Source organism: Homo sapiens, chromosome 19, assembly GCF_000001405.40.
Source record: "Homo sapiens chromosome 19, GRCh38.p14 Primary Assembly".
NCBI lineage: Eukaryota > Metazoa > Chordata > Mammalia > Primates > Hominidae > Homo > Homo sapiens.
Window position 1 is genome coordinate 42,152,307 of NC_000019.10, and position 19,831 is coordinate 42,172,137.

General features: G+C 52.3%; 1 protein-coding gene and 1 long non-coding RNA gene across 4 annotated transcripts in view, besides 2 other annotated features; one reads left to right on the top strand and one right to left on the bottom strand.

Moving 5' to 3' along the window:
• POU2F2 (POU class 2 homeobox 2) overlaps positions 1 to 19,831 on the bottom strand; it is a 111,827-nt gene that overhangs the window by 66,197 nt on the left and 25,799 nt on the right. For all 3 annotated transcript variants that reach the window (XM_047438955.1, XM_047438954.1, NM_001393934.1), the window contains exon 2: positions 8,026 to 8,086. The gene's annotated coding sequence lies outside the window, so the exon portion shown is untranslated. The remainder of the gene's footprint in view (positions 1 to 8,025; positions 8,087 to 19,831) is intronic.
• On the top strand, positions 230 to 5,215 carry POU2F2-AS2 (POU2F2 antisense RNA 2). The gene is made up of 2 exons (NR_186341.1): positions 230 to 400; positions 3,401 to 5,215. It is a non-coding gene; the product is annotated as a POU2F2 antisense RNA 2 (long non-coding RNA).
• Positions 2,688 to 3,216: an enhancer, noted in NCBI's record as "H3K4me1 hESC enhancer chr19:42659146-42659674 (GRCh37/hg19 assembly coordinates)". NCBI's record gives its function as "activates a minimal SCP1, AML or CMV promoter by ChIP-STARR-seq in primed H9 embryonic stem cells {active_cell/tissue: H9 hESC(primed)}" and the evidence as "EXISTENCE:reporter gene assay evidence [ECO:0000049][PMID:30033119]".
• Positions 12,905 to 13,128: a silencer, noted in NCBI's record as "fragment chr19:42669363-42669586 (GRCh37/hg19 assembly coordinates)". NCBI's record gives its function as "represses an EF-1alpha promoter that drives an FKBP-Casp9 reporter gene in an ReSE screen in K562 erythroleukemia cells {active_cell/tissue: K562}" and the evidence as "EXISTENCE:reporter gene assay evidence [ECO:0000049][PMID:32094911]".

The window sequence follows — 19,831 nt, forward strand, 5'->3', positions numbered from 1 at the left end:
GAATAAGGCGGGCCTCTTTTGGAGGGGGTGGGATGGGCTCACACATGCCCCCACAGCCTGCCAAGAAGGCCCCAGATGGGCCGAGGACTATAGGGGTCCCGGCTGCCCTCCCCCAAACCTCCCCTCCCTTCTCTCCCTCTCTCTTTCTCGGCTGGCTATCGACCGGGGCTGTGACATGGTGGATCAATACGGCAGGGATATAAAGCCGGCTGGCTGGCTGCCTGCCTCTGCCTCTCTCTCTCTCCCTTGCTTGCCTTGCTTCCTTTTCCCGGAGCCGCACCCAGGTCCCCCACCATCATGTACCCCTTACCCAGGCCTCTGAGGGGCCAGGCACCCCCCACCACTCCCCTACAGCAGGAGAGCTTAGGGAGGCTGAGAGCTTGGACAGCCGGGAGAGGGGGTGAGTATGGGAGTGGGCAAGGAAGCAGATGGGGATGGGGGCCATAGTTTCAGGTAAGGGGGCTGGGAGAAATTGAGGGACAATTTCTGGGAGAAAGCAGGCATCCCCTCAATTGGGAGCAGCTCAGAAAGATGGGGCCCTTTGAAGGTGTGTGACGGACAGAGCTCTGGGAGGTGGGCAGGGGGCACCTGTGGGTTCAGAGAGACACTGTCCTGAGCCCATGAGGCAGGGGAAGGTCTGGGGTGGGTGCTGGAGTAGGCTACGGTGAATGGACACAAAGAACAGTGGGGCGAACCCTCAGGCCGGCCTGCGCCCACCCCCAGAGCTGCTGGCTGCCCCGCCTTTGGGTCCCTGCGGGTAGAAGTTGCCTTGGCCTCACCCCAGGGTCTGGCCTGCACATGTGTGGTTGGGGTGGGAAGCTTGTGCGGCTTCGGACAGGAGGTTCCAGCGAGAGGTCTGTGGTGTGCGAGCTGCCATGGACGCAGGGTGTGCATGTGTCCTCAGGCTCTGCTGGGGGATTCTAGGACTGCACATACCCGAGCGTCTTGGCCCGAGTCATGTCTGTGTGTGAACATGAGTTCATGGATGTGTCCCAGGAGCACTGGGTGGCTGTGTATGCACTTCCATGAGTGTTTCCCTGACGCTAAGTCTCTGTCTGTCCCTTGGGGATGTATCCCAGGAACACCTCAGGGATCTCCTCTGTCCCCAGTTAATGGGGTAGCTATGTGTTCCCATGTGCTCTGGGAAGCCTGTGTGTGTTGGCGTGCGCATGCCCCTGACAGAGTGTGTCTGAGCACGGATGCTGCTGTGCGTGAGCCTCCATGGGTCCCGTGTGGATCTGTGCCTGTGCCTGTGGGCAGCTGCGTGTGCTTCAGGGATCTGCGCGGTGGTCTCTATGTGTACTGGAAGCAGGTTCTCCTCATGAGTGTCGGAGAGTCCATGCGGTTTCTCTGTGTGTCTATGTGATGCTGTGTGTCCCTGTGTGCCGATGGTCGAGTGTGTTTCCACAAGTGGGCTGGAGGCTCTGGGTGTGTCCCTGTGTGTGTCATGGTGACTTGGTGTAGACGGCACGGTGTATGTGTGTAGAGGCTACAACCCTGAGTCTCTGAGTGGGGGAGGGTGGCGAGGCAGCAGGGGCTGCCACGGAGACACTGGCTAGCCGGTTTTATCACTACATCATCTCCAAATCCCAATGTCAGGGCCTGCCTGCCTTCTTTCCCTTCCCTGCCAGAGACCCCAGACCCCTGCCAGGATGGGCCCAGGCCCCCGTCCCTCCCCCGGCACCTTGGGCAGGCTGTACCTCTGCTCCTCAACACCCCTGCTTTGGTGGATGCCACCTCAACTCCACCAAGCGACCTCCGTCCCTCCCAACCCCCCCAGCGCCACCCGCTCCCCCCGCCCTCCCCCCACCACAAGTCCAGTCCAACCCAGACAAAAGCAATTACTCCAGAGGTAGGATGTGAGTGTGGGTGTTAGAAACAGGAAAAAAAGGGGGGGACAGGGAGGGGGAGCGAGAGAGACACAAACAGAGGCAGGGATGGACAGCCAGAGACCCCGAGAGACGACAAGAGAAAGAGAACGGCAGAGTGAGAGACAGAGGCACACGCAGAGAGATGCACAGAGAAGCAGAGACAGAAGATGAAAGAGACTGGAAGGGACACAGACACCAAAACCAGGAGGCAAAGGCAGAGAAAAAGAGCAGAGGAAGGGCAAATGCAGAGAGCACGACAGAGAGAGACGCAGAGACAGTGACTGGAGAGACGGAGAGAGAAACAGAGAAAGAGCACACAACAGAGCAGAAAACCCAGTGATGGAGCCACACAGAGAGAAGACGCAGATAAAGAGAGAACGGGGGCCAGAGGCAGGGAGAACTAGAAAGGGGGCAATGCACAGAGAGGAACAGAAAGGCTGAGTGAGAGTGAGAGAGAAAGGAGACCAGAGAGATAAAAGGCAGACGGCAGATAGTGGTGGAGGGGAGTTGGTAACCCACTAGAGACTCTGAGATGGCAAAGCTAGAGAGAAACTGAAAGGGGATCACGTCCAAAGTGATGTCTCTCACACACACACACACACACACCTTTCTCCCCATTCCCCAGGCCAGAAGTCAGGGATGCTCAAGCCTTTTTCCACGTTCCTCTGGGCCCCTGTGAGCCACGGTGGGGAGGGGACAGGGTGAATGGACAGGGATGATCTCAGGTAGCTTCAGGGACCAGCCAGAGCCGACTGGGACCTGATCACATGGGTAGGGAGAGCAGTACATCCCTCCTTACCACACACCGCCACCTCACCCTCCACACACAGTCCACACACACCAGGGCCTTGGCCAATTTCCTCGTACTCTGCCAGGCATGGCCAGCCTGGGGGGTGGGGGGCCAGGTGTGAGGTCCTTCCTTCCTGCCCCACAGTCCTGCCCACCTGCCTCAGCTGCAGCTGCCCCGCACTGTTTTTTCTTTCTCATTGTCCCCTGCCTTCAGCCCGGCTGCCTTCATCTTTCTCTGATGCACTCTCATGCGCTCAGCTCGCATGCACGCGCCCTCTCTTTCTCTCTGTTCCTTTCTGTCTCTGAGTCCCTCACTCTGCTTTCCTGCCTCTGACTTTTCTGCTGTTTCCTCTTCCTCTTTGCTCCTCTCCGTTGCTCTGTTCCCCTCTCTGTGTTTCTGTCATGAGGTGCATGCTCCCTGGGTCTCCCTCTCCCTCCACTCCCATCTGGTGTATTCTGGATTCCCCTTTCTTAGACAATCCCTCTGGCCCTCCTATCCACCTCGTCCCCAAGAAAAGCAAGGTTGGGCACAGTGGTCCTAGCCTGTAGTCCCAGCTACATAGGAGACTGAGGCAGGAGGATTGCTTGAAAGTTTGAGAAAAGCAAGGGTGGATCACTGTGTAAAGGACCTCAGAAGCTGTCCTGGAGTGCTAGGAGTGGGTGAATACTTCCTTTCTTGTTTTTCCCTCAATCACCTTTTATCCTCCTCTCTTTCCTACCCCACCTCACACCCACCCCAGGCCGGATCTCTGGATCTCCCCAGCCTCCAGATCTCAGTGTGGCTCTCTCTGGAGACAAAAGCTAAGACTCAACCCACAGGCAACACTCAACACAGAGATCCAGCTCAGAAAAAAAGGAGCTGACCAGGGAGGAATGGAGAGGCCAAGACACATAATGAAGACTAAGAAAAGGAAGAAAGATGATGCTGGGGCTGGAGCCAAAGGGAGAGGAAGAGGAAAGGAAGGAAAGCCAGGGGCAGAGACCTGGCAGGGCAGCGTGAGCCCAACAACCACGGGGTGGGGGTGGGGCGCGCATCAAGATTTCTAACAAGCGCAGCTGAAAACACCCAGGGCCGTTCTCTGAGGCCTTCTCTCTGCCTACCAGCCCTCACCAGTGCTTCGAAGAGCCCTGAGGAACGTCTCTCTATTTGAAGTCAGAGCCGAGTGCCTGCTCTCGGCACCTGGGGCTCCATGCTTACCAGGATGGTGGGTACTTGACCTTCATTTGCTGTGGGACTGTCAGGGATTCCAGGGACCCACTGGTCCCCGAACTGGCTCAGAGATGCAAGCCATTTTTACCTCCTACACATCTATAATCCCCACCCCATGGCTGACAAATATTCCCAGTCCACAGCTGTCTCCACCCACCCAGTGACAGAGCACAGGCAGCCAAAAGGATCAAGCAATCTCTTGCCACCTCCCAGCACCCCAGAATGCTAAACAGACCCTCACATCTGGACTCCACATCCAGCGAGGAGTGCCCCTGCCCACCACCCAGATCACACAGCTGCCAGTTACAGACCACCCTATAGGTCCCACCACACGGCCATAGCCCACCAGCATCCCAGAGCTGCCTCTACACTAAAGCTCTGTCCCAGCCCAGCCATCCTTCAAGCCACATCTGGAATAGCACACACCCTATTCCACTAGCCAAAGCCCCCAGGGGTGTAATTCAGAAGGAGGCAGACTGGGCCTGGGGCATGTGGACAAGTCCCTGACACCACGCCCTGGCTTCTCCGGCTTGTCTGAAGAACCTGAACTGCCCTTAAGGCCTGCGCCTCCCATCCCAGGGCAGCCCCCCCGCCATACCTACACTCTTGGCCATGGGAGAATGTCCTCATGTGCGGCTAAACATCCTCCTCATGCAGCCTTGAATTCTGTTCCTTCCACGTCACCTCACCAGACCCAGGATGAAAGCCGCTCACCTAGAGCAAAGCTTCTGCTTCCGAGGCATTCAGGACTCCCCTCAGGGTGTGTGAGCACCCTGGGGCACATGCCTGTTGCTTATGTCTGGGTTACCTCTGTGACCCTGGGACCGCTCCACATTGAAGGCCGTTGTGTCTTTTTGTGGAAGGATGGAAGGACAGAAGGGAAGGAGAGACAAAGTGGTACCACAGCCCTGTTCTTGCCCTGGCACTTGGAGGGCACCAGATACCCAGGGGACTGTAGCTGGCTGTGAGGACTCTAAGGCCAGGCCAGCATACACAGTCCCCAATAGTGAGTAGGAGCCCAGTCAGTCCACACCCCTTCCCATCCACTCGAAATGTAACTTAGCCCTCGGCTTCTCCTTACCTTTCAGGAGTTCTCTCCTTACCCCCAAAGACTTCCTGAGGACCCCCTAGGCCAGCCAGCCTATCCCTCTCTCCCCTAACCCAGCATCCTGCAGTCCCCTGGTTCAGATTGGTGGTGTCTGTGCCTGAACCCCCACGAGCCTGAAAGCCCCTCAAAGGCCACATGGGTCTCCCGCCTCTCTGCATCTCCAGATGGTGGCACGAGGCCTAGCACACAAGGAATCCCAGAAAATGTTGGCTGAAGGAATAAATGGATGGATCTAGGTTTATGTGTCTGTTTGCTCACTTATTTATTCATTCAGCTCATGCTTGCTGAGCACTTACACTGTGCCAGGGACTGAGTATAGACAGATGTGTTAGACAAACAGAGAGGTCCCCTCACCCAGAGGCTTCTGAGAGCAGACATTAACCATATAGAATATAATCAGATACGGTGATAGTGCTCAGGAGGGAAAAGGAGGCATCATCCAGCCCATGGGTCAAGAAAGGCCCTCAGAGTTGAGGAGCCTTAGATGGGGAGCTGAGGAGGTAGAGAAGTGAAGCCAACCCAGAGTGGAGAGAAGGCCCTGCTGTGGGTGGGAGGAGATTTGGAGGAAGGGCCAGAAGGGAGAGGAGGAGGGGGAGTCACACGGGAGCATAGGCAGCAGAGGCCACCACAACCCCAGGGCTGGGAGGGGGTCTCTCACTCATCCTGGGGCTCCAGCTCCCACATAGAGCATTGAGGAGGCCTCCAGACATGTTTGGGGCATCACTCACCTTCCAAGTGTGGCTATAAAGGAAAGACAGAGCAGGTGAGGGCGATGTTTATTGTAGTTGTTGTTTCGTAACAAAACTATACACCTAAAAGAGTATGGCTTCCTTCAAAGATGTCTCCTCAGGAGGCCGAACTTTTTCTTGAACCACCTGATATTTTGGCAACAGCCTTCAAGGCCAGTTTACAAACTCCATCAGCAAAGCATCTCTCTAGTGTATAATCATCTCTAGTTTCTATTGAAAAACCAACAAGTGGCCCCAGTATTATCATTGCTAAATTCATCAGAGCTGCTGCTAAATCAGACTTCAGGTGGTCTCCGAAATCAAATTCACTCCCAAAGTGCAAAAATTTGCCACACTGTGGAGATACCAAAAACAATGGTGGGTTTTGGTGAGGTAAAAGAATGAGAGCTTTAAGGTCAGGCAAACCCAGGTTCAAATTCTAACTCTACTGCTTACATGTTGGGTGGCCTTAGGCAAGTTGCCTTCACGCTCTGTGCCTCAGTTTCTTTGTCTTGTAACAGGTGCCAACACCCACTTCACAGGGTTGCTGTGAGGATTAAAAGCAAAGTGCCCAGAACAGGCCCTTGCACAAAGGTGGCCCCTAATAAATATCAGTTTCCTCACTGGAATGTACCAGCCCTGTTACGTGTTACCAAGTCAGTCACCCACATGTCCATGAAATCATGGATATTTAATGAACATCTATTTGAAGACAAATAATTGAAATCATAGACCTAACAGTGACCTCTACCAACTGGAAACATAATTAAACCCCTCTGTTACTTCAGCCCAACTTTCAGACGTTCCTCAAAGCCAGTCTCTAGCTCCCAAACTAATTCTGCAACCTGGAAATTCCTTGACTCTCTTTTCGAGGATGTGAGGATTCCTGGAAAAACTGCAACTTCGGTTCCCTGGAGAAAGCACTCTAGAGAAATGACACATCCTGGAACAAACACTCTCAGCGATAACAGGGGTCCATGAATGAGCTTCAGGGGGTCTGTGATCATCCCAAAGTGTAGCACAACTGGGCAAATGTAGGTATGTGTTTTCCTGGGAGAAGCTCTATACTGTTGTGAAACTAGGTATCTATGGGCCAAAGGTTGCCTGAAATATGTTGTTTGGACCACGAGGAGATTTTGCAAGTTTTGCATTAGTTGCCAACATTTAAAGATTGGAAGACTTCACACACAAGTCTGGGTTCCTGGCTTCTCTTGAAAAATCAGAAACCCTGGCAAGTCAGGGTTGCATCTGTGCATGAGAACAGTCAGTGGAGCTAAAAAGCAGTCCCCCACCCCATGCATTTTTCAGTCCATCATAGTCCCTACAATGCTGGGTTGCAAACCCTGGGCTACAGCTTCCATCTGCTTCTTAAAATGAGACTGTGATTCCTGGTACAGCAAAGGACTCCTACCCAGGAGTCCTACAAGGGCACCCAAAGGCCTCCCTGGGGTCCTGAGACCTGTGGGTTAAGCTTCTCTGGTGGGAATAGGGGTGGCAGTAGAGGGCTGTCCCACCCCAGAAGCCCTGTCCACCCTCCTCCCTAGATGCTCATTGCCAGGGCCTCACCAAGCAAGCTGGAGCAAACACCAGGGCAAATGGCCAGAGCCCCTGCTTCCCACAGAGGTGAGCAGCAGGAGAACTATGGCTTCTACCTGGGAGTCTCAGTGGGCTTCAGGGAGGGGCTTCATAAAACCTTCTTTGTTCAGGGGAACGCTTCCAGCCATATTTTGAGCTCCCACTTCCTGCAGCCACACGATTTCAAGGAATAAGTACTTTCATCTTCACGCCACCTCCATGTGGTAAATGCTATTAATTACCCTCCTTTGACAGATGGGGAAACTGAGCCATGCCCAGGATCACTCAGCCACCTGGCTCTTCTTCCTCTATCTCCTTTTGCTCTCAGGATGGCACTTAAGGTGGGTTCTATTAGTATTCCCATTTACAGACAAGGAAATGGAAGCTCAAACTTTCCCAAGTCCCTCGAAGTCAGGAAAAGAGATTCGAACATAGGTGTGCTTGAACCCAAAGCTGTGATCTGAGCCACCGAGTTACCCCCATCTCTCTCCTACTGAGCCGTAACACTGATCAGCAGAAACACCCACAGTCATCAACACCAAGAACCACTGGTTTGGCCCGAAAGCCACAGGATGCATGGAGGGTGAGAACAAAGCAGTCAGATTCTAACCTCTGGGTGGGCAGAGTGGAGAAGGGCAGCAACACACCCAGGGTGAGGCCAGAGACGAGGATGGGAAAGCAGAGACTTCTGTGAGAAACCAGAAGGTGCATCAATAAGCAAAACTCTAAGGCCGTGGTCCTTACCTCTTGGGCAGACGCAGCGAAGCTAATACATTCAGGCCACCAACCCGGTCCAGTCGAGAACCTGGAGAGAGAGGAGAATGCAGTCAACATCCCGGAGAATTCCCCATCCTCATGCAGGATGATGCACTCCTCCAGTGGAGGAACCCTCCTCCTGTCACATCATCAGGAGCTGCAGTTGGCTAACTGTGGAGTCAGGTGCCTGGAACTCAGGTCCAGTCAGCCACTTGTTGCCTTCAGTAGTCACTTCTGGCCTCTGAGCCTCTGTGTCCCCAACTCATAAATGGGCATACTAGTGCCTGCCACTGTGGAACATCTGTTTTTCCCATCAGACTGGAAGCTTCTTAAAGTGCAGGGACTGTAACTGTGTCTTGAAGCTTTTGTGTTTGGCAGAGGGCCTGGCAAATTTGAGATGCTCAATTAGTGCATAACGGACGACGGAGTGAATGGATGGGTGGATGGAGGAATTAACTGATTAAATGGTGTATCTCAAAGGACTGCTACGAGGAACAAATGAGAAAGAAATTTGAAAAGGTTACTCATTATTAAGTTCCTATGTGCTCTGGGGAGATTAAAAATAAAAGTCATAATGATATTTCTGACTTGTACATTTGTCCATTCATTTGTGCATTTAGTTCATCAACAAATATTGAGATTTCTCTGGCTCTGAATCAAGTGTGGCAGGGGACAGAGATGAATTAGACAAGGTCTCTGCTCTATTACGGGGCTCACAGGCAAGTTGAGGAGACAGAAGGAAGAGCCAATGCCAACATGCTGGGGTAAGCAGAGGGTGCTGCGGGCATCCTGGGTGAGATCACAGAAGACTTAGGGAGGAAACAACACCCAAGCCAAACCTGGAAGACAAATTTTAATCAGAGAAAGAACCAGGTGCAAGGAACGAGAGAATGCCAGGACTTTGCCTGTCCAGGGTTCAGTAAGAAAAATGGGGAAAGACGAGGCTTCCAGATTGCAGGGGCTGCTCCCTGCAGGGCGTCAAGTGCCTGGTCCAAGCAGCCAGGGCTTCGTCAGAGAGGGAGAGGGATACAATCCAGTTTGCCTTTGGAAAGGTCCTTCTACCTCCTGTGTACAAGATGGAGAGAACAGAGAAGTAGGCAAGAGGTCAGGAGGCCCATCCCCAAAGAGGGTTTGCTGAGCCTCTCCACAGCCCTGTAGGAAGGAGGAGTGAGGAATTAAGGGAGGCACCAGAGTTCAAAAGGAGGAGGAGGAGAAAGAAAAAGATGGACTGAGAAGGAGGGGGAGAGAGAAAGAGAAGAGATGGGGAGAAATAGACAGAGAGGAATGAAGGGAGCGGGGGCAAAGAGACCAGGGAAAAGCCCAAACAAGAAGCAAAAGGGGGGTAAAAAGGGCCAAGGGTCTCCCCACTTCCTCCTCCATCTGTCCTGTCTCTCCCTGGGCCTTCATCTTCAGGGGCAGAAGGGGACCAGAACCCCTGGTCCCTGAGGGGAGGGAGGAGCTGGGGTTGCTCCCCGCTCAGGGGCTGCTTCCCCCCAGCCCCCGCCCTGGAGCTAATCAGCGGCTGTCATCTCCACAGTGAGGTCTTGGTTAAGGAGATTTAGGGCCGGGATCAATAGGAAATTTAAAAATCGATGCAGCGCGCAGGGCAAAATCGATGGCGTTTAATCGCCTTGCCGATTCCCAGTCAAAACAATTAGCCGCGCTGAGTGTTGAACACGGTGGCGACACGGCATTAACCGTCAATATTGGTGTAAGTGATGGGGTGGGCGAGGGAATCCCCAGGCCTCGGGGGGGCCAGAGTCAGACAGCGCCTTAGGGCTGGGGTCTTCCCCCAGGCAGTGCCCCCACCTTGGGCTTCCCTCCAGCAGGGCCCACACTTGAGTCTCCCTGCCCTCTGCTACCTGGGGCTGTGGTGCCCATAGGCAGCACCATCCCTGGCATATCTGCTTCCAACTCTCATCCCATCTCCCGGGTTCCCAAACCCCAATATGCCCTCCGACAGAGGGGAGAGGATCCCTCTCCCAAGCAGACAACACCTCCAAGTAGAGAGACAGTCCATGGGATCTAGGAGCTGTATTCCCAGCAGTGCCTTAAGACTGGGAGCTATTTAGAAGATGTCTTCCCCCATTGTACAGATGGGGACCCTGAGGAACAGAGAGGGGCAGCAGCTGGCCCACAGTTACCAGGCACAGGAAGAGTGGGAGCCAGAATTTGAACCTGATGTGTCTGACTCCAAAGCCTACATTTCCTGCAGCTGTGCACATAAAGGGTAGATTCCAGTGTTCACAGAGGGAAAGCAAGCTCAGGGTTTGGTCCTGGCCCCTCAAGTCTCCTCACAGCCAGTGTATATAATGGTTTGCTGTGTCCTGGGGTCAGTTTGCCATGTACATGGCAGACTGTGAGCTCCTTGAGGGCAAGGCAGGGCCTGGCTCCTTTGGGGGTCCGAAGCATTGCCCAGCACAGGGAATGACCCCAAGCCAGGGCTTGGGACAGGCCTAAGAATGATGACGCCACTTGCCCCCACAGACACAGAATGCCCACATACAACCCCACCGATAGACAGATGGAAACACTGGCACCCACAGACACATCAGTACTGGCATTTCCTGAGTGCTGGTCATGCACCAGGGGTGGGTCATTGCTCTGCAGGTGTGATCTCTCAGCATCTCACATTTGTTCGGCGAGTGTCATCCCATGACACTGCTGTGGAAAATGGAGGCTCAGACAGGTAAAGTCACTTGCTCAAGGTCACACAGCCAAGTGGGGGCACCTCTATCTGATTGGACTCCGAGGGGCATGGGACATACAGCAAACAAGATCTAACGACTATGAGCAAGAGAGGTGGATGCAAGGAGAAGGTACAGGAACTGGGCACCTAAACAGAGAACCAGGAATGGCCCACAAAGGGCCATGGGGCTCCCGGTTCTGGGGTGCTGTGTTGGGAGAGAGAGGCTTCTGTGGCCACCTGCTCCCTGGAGCAGAAGAACAGGAGGGAGTGTGTGGGCAGAGGAGGAGGCCCACGAGATGAGCCAGGGATTGATCTGACAAGGTCCTAATCAAATGGTCAATATCACTGACCTGACCACTTAACCTATTGATAAGCTGGCAAGGATGGAGCAGGCGGTGAGTGGGCTCAGGGAGGGGGGCAGCGGAAGGGATGAGGGAAGCCTGAGTGGGCAGGACATAGGCCGGCATCACGCCTGGCTCTGGGGCCTGGAAGAGGGTGGTCTCCTCCTCAAGGGCCCCTGCTGACACGGCACATGTCTTATGTCTTGGTGGCTTCCTCTACCCAGGCTTTTCTCTCCTCTCGGGATCCCTCAGTCCCTCCCTGAGGGAGGCCAGGGACTGTTGCTGGCACCCAAGTGGTCCCCGGCTCCCCTCTGACTGTGCCTTAGCTTTTCACACATGTGAGAGGCTTCACATCCAAGCCTCAATGTCTTCATTTGTAAACTGGGGATAATTATAATAGGGGAAATCAAAAACCAACCTAGATATCATATGAGTGGGGACTGGTACAATAAATGATAGTATAGTGGCCATACAAAGAAGGACTGTAGAGTTGTTGAAAACATGTTTGAAATAAATTTTTTTTTACACTTCTCTCAGCTCATACCATGAAATAAAATCATTGACAACGAAACCATGTTCATAATCTGTTGTTAGGAAGAAGAAAAGGCAAGTTATAAACAAGTATGTAGCATATCATCCCGTTTTTACAAAATACACATCCAGATGGTTCCCCCACCAAAAATAAATAAATTTGGAACAGAAATCAGAATTCTGAGTTTGGACCAGTCTGGCCAACATGGTGAAACTCCATCTCTACTAAAAATACAAATATTAGCCGGGTGTGGTGGTGCGCCTGTAATCCCAGCTACTCAGGAGGCTGAGGCAGGAGAATCTCTTGAACCCAGGAGGTGGAGGTTGCAGTGAGCTGAGATTGCGCCACTGCACTCCAGCCTGGACGACACACTGACATTCTGTCTCAAAAAAAAAAAAAAAAAGGCCAGGCATAGTGGCTCATGCCTGTAATCCCAACACTTTGGGAGGCCAAGGCAGGCGGATCACCTGAGGTCAGGAGTTTGAAACCCCATCTCTACTAAAAATACAAAAATAGTTAGCTAGGCGTGGCAGCAGACACCTGTAATCCCAGCTACTTGGGAGGCTGAGGCAGGAGAATCGCTTGAACCTGGGAGGCAGAGGTTGCAGTAAGCCGAGATCATGCCATTGCACTTCAGCTCAGGTGACAGTGCGAGACTCTGTCTCAAAAAAAAAAAAAATCTGAGTTTGGGTCCCAGGTATCTAAATTTTAATAAATTATTTGGGTAAACTCATAGCCATAATCTCCTTTGGAGAAAAAAAAAAAGCTAAGACAGTCAGGGTGCAATGGCTCACACCTGTAATCCCAGCACTTTGGGAGGCCGAGGTGGGCGGATCCCTTGAGCCCAGGAGTACAAGACCAGCCTGGGCAACATAGCAAGACTCTGTCTCTACAAAAAATACAAAAATTAGCTGGGTGTGGTGGCGCATACCTACAGTCTCAGCTACTCGGGAGGCTGAGATGGGAGGATCACTTAAGCCTCAGAGGTAGAGGCTGCAGTGAGCTGAGATCTCTCCACTGCACTCCAGCCTGGGTGACAGGCTATCTCAAAAAAAAAAAAAAAGACAGATAGCAAAAGGTAATGTCCTTTTTGTTGTTCGTTTAACTAGATTATCATGGTCATTTTCTTCTCATCTCATTGAATTTCTGTTTTCTGTTATTTCTACAATGAACATGTGTCACACCATTTGTCTGTAATTGACAGACTGTGGCTAGGTACTTAGTGGAGGCACCTCTAGTGCTGTTTCTCTGCTTCCCTCTCCCTTTCCCAGCCAGGCTTGTCTTATGTCTTCCCTTATGTCCAAACCCAGCAGAGTTCAGTGCCCTCAAGAATGTGAATGAATTTGAAGTCTGCTGAATGGAGAAGAGCTCACTCCTCTGGCTTCTGCTCTCAATAGAGTGGGCGGGGTAGTACCAAGCCAAATACAGTCCCCTGTCCCCTCTTCAGGAAACTGGCTGAGGGCTTACAGACAGGAGGAACTGCTGGAGGGAAAACGAAGACCCAGAGGGAGGGAAGGGATTTTCCCAGAGCTACTCAACTGGTCATGACACAGCTGGGACCAGAAGCTGGGGATCTGGGCTCCTGGATCAGAGTAGTGCCATCCAACTACTGGGAGGGGGACAACTGCAAGAACAAGTGTGCATGCAGACTCCTGAGATAATGTGCACTTCTGTGGGGCAGAAGAGCACAGTGGGTAAACATGGGGTCGGCCACTTCCTCACTGTGTGGCCCTGGGCAAGTCACTTCACCTCTCTGAGCCTCAGTTTGCTCAAACATAGCATGAAGATAATAATAACAGCTGCCTCATTTTGCTGGTGTGAGAAGCCAACAAGACCGTGCTTATAGGGAACTTAGCAAAAGGCCTTACACACAAAAAAGGGGCAATGAGTGGGAGAAATTAATACTATTACCATCAGCAGCCATAAATGCTGTGAGTAGTAAGTGAAGGTGGTGGGTAGGTAAGGGAGAAGGTTTGTCTTGGTAACCTGAGCAAATGAACAAATGCAATGAAGACACTCAGCTAAATATATTCCTTTGTTCATTCATTCATTCATTCAGTAAGCATTTCCTGAGGCCAATTCTAGGCCAGATCCCATGCTGGGCCCTGCAATCCAGATATGAACAATGAGAGCTCCCATTAGGTTGGTAAAGGGGAATTAAGGATGGCTGGGGATGGCCCCTTATCTCTGACAGTTGCTGCCGCAATGGCCCCCAAACTATCTCTTGGGCCTTCTGCAGAAAAGGATCGAGCACAGGAGCACAAGCTCCCCATCACCTGACTGGTGTGACACTTTGGGTATGTGTGTGCACACACTGGAATAGTAAGCTCTGTGCAGATGGACTATGTTCACTTTTGTCATTCACAGCACTGGGCACCAGGTCTCATGCTCTGGGGACACTCTATGCTCAGAGTTTTTTTTTTTCCTCCGTTTTTTAAAATGAACAACAAAAAAAAGTTCAAAGCACCTTGCACAATGCCTAACACCTGGCAGGTACTCAATAAATAGCAGCTATTATTAGCGTCATCATCACACGTGCCACTGCTCTTCATCCCAACAAAAACCTTATTTTGCCAACAAGGAAACTCGAGGCTTAAAAGGAGTGATGTGACTCAAAGCCGGGTGTGTCTGACTCCACAGTCTGTGGTCTCCCCTCCTTTGTGTCTGGGGGCAGGGGCCATCAGAGTGTATGCTGGAGGTGAAGGAGGGGAAGGGCAGCAGTGTGCGTCAGGGGGTGAGCAGATCTGACAATGGGAGTAAGGAGGAGTTGATTGGAGTGAGGGGAGGGTCGTGAGGGAGATGAGGGTGCAGGATGGGAGCATACAGGCCCAGGATGATGATGGTTTTGGAGTCTGGCTGCTCTGAGGCTCAGGTAGGAGGTGGACTCACTTGCCAATGTACCCCTCCAGCACTGGTAAGTGCTCACCCTGAAGGTGAGCTCTGCCACCCTTGTCTGACACAGCAGACGTCTACCTCCACCATTATATTGGGCAAGCAGGTGATATATTGGGCAAGTAGGTGATATATTGGGCAAGTAGGTGACAGGGGATCCGGCTTCAGTTCATTTGACAAAACATTCAATGAGCACTTATCGTGTTCTGGGCACTGTGCTACACACTAGGGATACAACTATGAACAACACAAAGTCCCTGCCATCGTGGAATCCACCTTCTAGTGGAGGAAGAGATATGATACACAAGAAAATATATTTAAGACCTAAGAAGGAAAATAAAGCAGGGAGAAAGTGGCTTACAAGATGCTGCTATTGGCCAGGCACAGTGGCTCATGCCTGTAATCCCAGCACTTTGGGAGGCCGTGGCGGGCAGATCACCTGAAGTCAGGAGTTCGAGACCAGCCTGGCCAACATCATGAAACCCCGTCTCTACAAAAATACAAAAATTAGGTAGGCATGGTGGCGTGCGCCTGTAGTCCCAGCTACTCAAGAGGCTGAGGCACAAGAATCGCTTGAACCTCAGAGGCAGAGGTTGCAGTGGGCTGAGATTGCACCACTGCACTCCAGCCTGGGCAACAGAGCAACACTCTGTCCCCCCAAACTCCAAAAAAAAAAAAAAGCTGCTATTTTAAACATAAAGGAAAAGCCTATCAGAGAAGGTAGATTTTGACAGCTTTCCTGGCAAAGGAAACAGCAAGTGCAAAGGCCCTGGGTCAGGAACAAGGTTTAAGGAACAGCAAGAAGGCCAGAATGGCTTGAGCTTCCAGAGCCAGGAGGGAGGGAGTAAAAGTTGAATAGACAGACAGGCGCTAGCTCATACAGGGTTTGCAAGCCAAGAAAGATGTTCTAAGTGTGATGGGAGAAATGACAGGCTCTCTCTGTGGCAGGTGAGGGTTGGTCTCACCCTCACAAAACCAGGCTCCAGCCTCACCCATTGCCCATATTGCCTATGGGGCCTTCTGACCCATTCATTCTCCAAGAACAAGCCCAAGAAGCCCTCAGTAAGCCCTCGGAGTCCCTTGACAGGGCTTTGTCAGGGTCAACCTCCCCAGACTGAGGACTACTCTAGAACATGGAAAGATCTGCCTCATCTGGGTGACTGGGCATGCAGCTCAGGCCTGGCCACAGGAGGCTCAGAAATCAATAGAACGTCAGTAGAAAGTAAGGGTGACTATAGCTCCTGACCTCCATTCCCTAGCAAATCTCCATTTGGGGGCAAGTCGTAGCAGTGGCCAAGATATGGGGCTGGGAGCAAGGGGAAGGTAGTTCTGTACCACCTCCCTCACCAGACCTTGGCCAGGGTTCCCAGACTGGACAGGTAGAGCAGAAGTCCTTGTGACTGGTGGCCTGCTCACTGGATCCCTTCCTCCAGGGGCTACCCATCCTGTCCTGTCCCCACACGAGGCTCAGAGAGATCAGACTTGGTACCTGGCTCACATGCTCTGTCTAGTCCCTCTCAAAACTGTTTTGTGGTTATGTGGTGCGCCCTGAATAAATCCCAAGCCTCACAGTGCTTCCCAGTCATGTAAAGTCTCCTCTCAGTCCTCCTGAAGGTCCCGTGACCCTGGGCCTCACATGATTGCTGGGAACAGTCTAGGCTTGTTCACATGTCCATGCCCTTGCCCAGGCAAGCATCTCCATTTAGACAGTCTTCTGCCTTCTTCTCTGCACCTTATCACCCTCTCCATGTCTCCTCCTTGGTGAATCTTCCTGGGCTCCCCACTCAGCACTGCCCCAGAATGCTTTGTGCACCTCATCCAGAGCCCAGAATCTGGGCCCCAGGTGAAAGGATCCCATTTCCCACCTAGGGACATGCCAGAGGAGTTTTCTAGAGGGAAAAGTGCGGCATAGTGGGGTAAGGGTAGGGGCATCTGAGTGCTGCATTATTTATGCCTGTGTGGGCTCTGTGAGTTTCAGGAGGGATATGTGTACACATTTAGAATCTGTGTGTTGTGCCTGATGTCAAGCTTAAATGTCACTTCCTCAGAGATGTTACACCTAGCCTACCAATCTAAACCAGGTTCTTCCGTGATGCCCTCCTGTAGCCCCTTTTTCCTCTCCTTACCAGGTGTATTTATAACTAACTATACACTGAGGTCTGATCAGTGCCAGTCCTGTTGGCTTGGAGCTCTTAGAGAGCAAGGCCCAGGTCTGTCTCGTAAACCACTGTTTCCTCAGCTTCTAAGACAGGGCCTGACTCCTATAGAGGCTCAGTACCTATGTGATGAGTTAATTAATTCTATACACATTTTCACACTTGAACATCTACCTATTTTGTTTTGCTTTAGGGGGATGAGGCTAGCCTGGGGGGTGTTTGTGTGCTATAACTCAGGGCATGGCCCTTTCGGTCACCACGTGTGGCCTCCCTGTGGGATTTCTGAATGTGGCCTGTGTGCACCCACAGGCATATAGGCTGGGATGCTGCCATGTTTTAGTATTTCTATTCGTACATTTTCTATTGAAAAACAAATCTCCACACGAGGAGCACCCTGGTGTTTTGGTGTCTGTCTTGCCCTGAGAGGTCTCAGCACCTATGTGCCTGCACAGACATCTGGGTTTTCATACCTGTGTCTGAGTATGTGTTTACCCCTGTTTCCAAACCTGGTGTGTCCATTTTGGCATCTCTGTGGACAAATATACAAACGTCTATGTGCATCTGCAGGGTTTAGCATCTATGAATTTTCTTAGGGAATCTCTGACCAAAAGTATGGGTATCTGGCTCCCAGGACCCAAGGGTGCACATGGCTACCATGTGTTTCAGAATCTGTGTATGTCTCTTGCAGGATCATTGCATGTGTCTGCATGCTTATGTATTTCAGTATTTGCCTTGTGCATCCGTTCAAGACTTACGTGGCCTCTCTAGTTTGGCGAATGAGTGCGCGCACACGTGTGTGTGTGCGTGTGTGTGTGTGTCGGGGTGATATAAACACATGTGCGTGTGTACCTGTGTGTCTTTCTTCCCCTCGCTGCTGCGCCTTCCCAGTCTGGATGAGTACCTTTTCTCTGTCTCTCTCTCTCTCACACACACACCCTTGCTCATATGTGCCTTGCAGATGGGGAGGGGGCCGGGGTGTCAGCGAGCTCCTGTGTCACAAGGTTAATTTCTCCACAGCCAGGCAGGCTGGGCCCTGAGGGGAGTGGTGGGGGAGGGGCTGGTCCCCACAGCCCCTCTGATAAATATGTATTTGGGGCTGCTGTGCTCAAAGGTCATGGGGGGAAAAGGAGGAGGAGGGGTGGTCTGCACTGTGCTGTGCTGCTGGGTCCCAGCCAGGCTCAGCATGGGTTGTGTGACCCCCCTCCAGAGGTCTGATGAGATTCAGGGAGATGCCCCCCTCATCCTGGTCTGGCCCACTCCACCCACATCCATGCTCCGAGGGAGATGCTGCTGTGGACACACAGATATTCAAACTCTGAAACAGGCAATCACACAAGCCCACACCCGCCGACACCTAGACAGAGGCTCAAACAGATGCACAAAGACGGCCTCATGGGCCACCAGATACATGGAAGGCTCAGAGTGCAGAGCCAGACCCATCGCTTCTTCCCCACCCCAACCTTCAACCCAACGCCAAAAAAAAAAAAAAAATGCTCAAGAGTGCATAGTGTCTCACAGTAAGAAAGCTTTCTACACATTCAATAGACGCAAACACACACACGGACCCAAAAATGCAGAGTCCAACAAGAAAGGTCCCTGAACACTTTGTGGGTGGGCATGTACACATAGACGCACAAGCAAACACATACACAAAGGCACATACATAGATGCACACCAGGAGTCCCAAAGATACAAAGTTCTACGAAGGTAGGCACATGCTGACAACTGCAGATAAATGTATGAACACACATGCACACAAACATGCACACATACAAAGACCCCAAGACACACACGGCAGGCAGGATGCATGGTGGATCCAGGCTGGGAAACCCACCCTGCTGCAACAGAGCCGGATCTGGCCCTTTCCCCGCTGAGGCGAGAATGGCTGCCTGGTCTCTGGTCATGGGCCCCCAGCCAGCTTCAGCCAAATGCGCCATCATTTGTCCAGCTCTGAGTCACATCAGTTGTCGAGCCTCCCCTCCTCGCTGACCAGCCATCTCGGCCATCAGCGGCCTCGGCCATTAGTCGGCTCCTGCCTCTGGCCTGCATTTGTTGAATCTCCCTTACCTGGCAGAACCGTCCGGACCAATGGAACCCTTTTGGAGTCGGCCTGACCTTTTCCTCAAGGGATTCCGATGTACCCTGTTGTATGACCCTCGGCCCATGCCTCAGGGCGACCCTCCCCTCAGCACACTGCTCAGGCTGTCATTCTTCAATGACCGCTGGCCACAGTAGTTCTGGTGGATTGTGAGGCTGTGTGTTTGAGTATGTGTGGAAGTCCGCTTGTAGGTATATGTGTATGGGTGGTGGGATGGCTATAGCTGTGCTTTAAGTCAAAATGAGTGTGTGTGTGTATGCGTGTGTGTCTGTGTCTGTGTGTGAATAAGGGGATAGGAAGTCAGCAGCTGTGCTTAAAGTCAGAGTGCCTGAGTATATGGTTGTATATATGGGGAGATGGAATGTCAGGGGCTGCGCTTCGTGTGTGTGTGTGTGTGTGTGTGTGTGTGTGTGTGTGTGCACTTTAATGCAGGAGTGACTTGGTGTATTGGCCTGGGCTTGGCGTGGGGGGCCATGAGGGGCCGTGTCTGTTTTGGGCATGGGGGGCAGTGCGGTACAGGCATCTGTTTCTCAAGCAGTTGTGAGCAAGTGGAATGTGCCTCTCTCAGACTCCGTTGCTTGTGTTTGTGAAAGTGACAGATGCTGCCTCCCTGGCCTCACTGCGGCGGATTAAGTCTGTGAATGCCACATGAGTCTGCACCCCGGGTGGGGGAGGGTCCCCAGTCTGCTCTTATACTTGCGTGTGTGGGCCACAGCCCTATACTTTATAGGATCCTGAGAGTGTGGACTAAAGTAACCCCCAACCTTGTTGGTTTCTGTGAGGGAGACCCTGAATGGATGCCAGAATAAAGGTCCCTGTGTGTGTGTGCACAAGCACACTCATGCTCATAGACAAGTCCGTATTGTCCAAAGTACGTTGTCACGAGATGCATGTGTATATGTGTATGTGTGTGTGATTGCAGGCATAATAGCTCCCCGCTGCCAGCCAGATCAAGTTCCAACTTCTCAGAGCAGCAGCTGAGCCTCCACAGACAGGGCCTTGCAACATTGTGCCAACCTCTACTCTTAGACTACACCTCCAACCTGGGCTGCTTTCTCCTCACTTTCCTCTGCCATCTTTATGCCC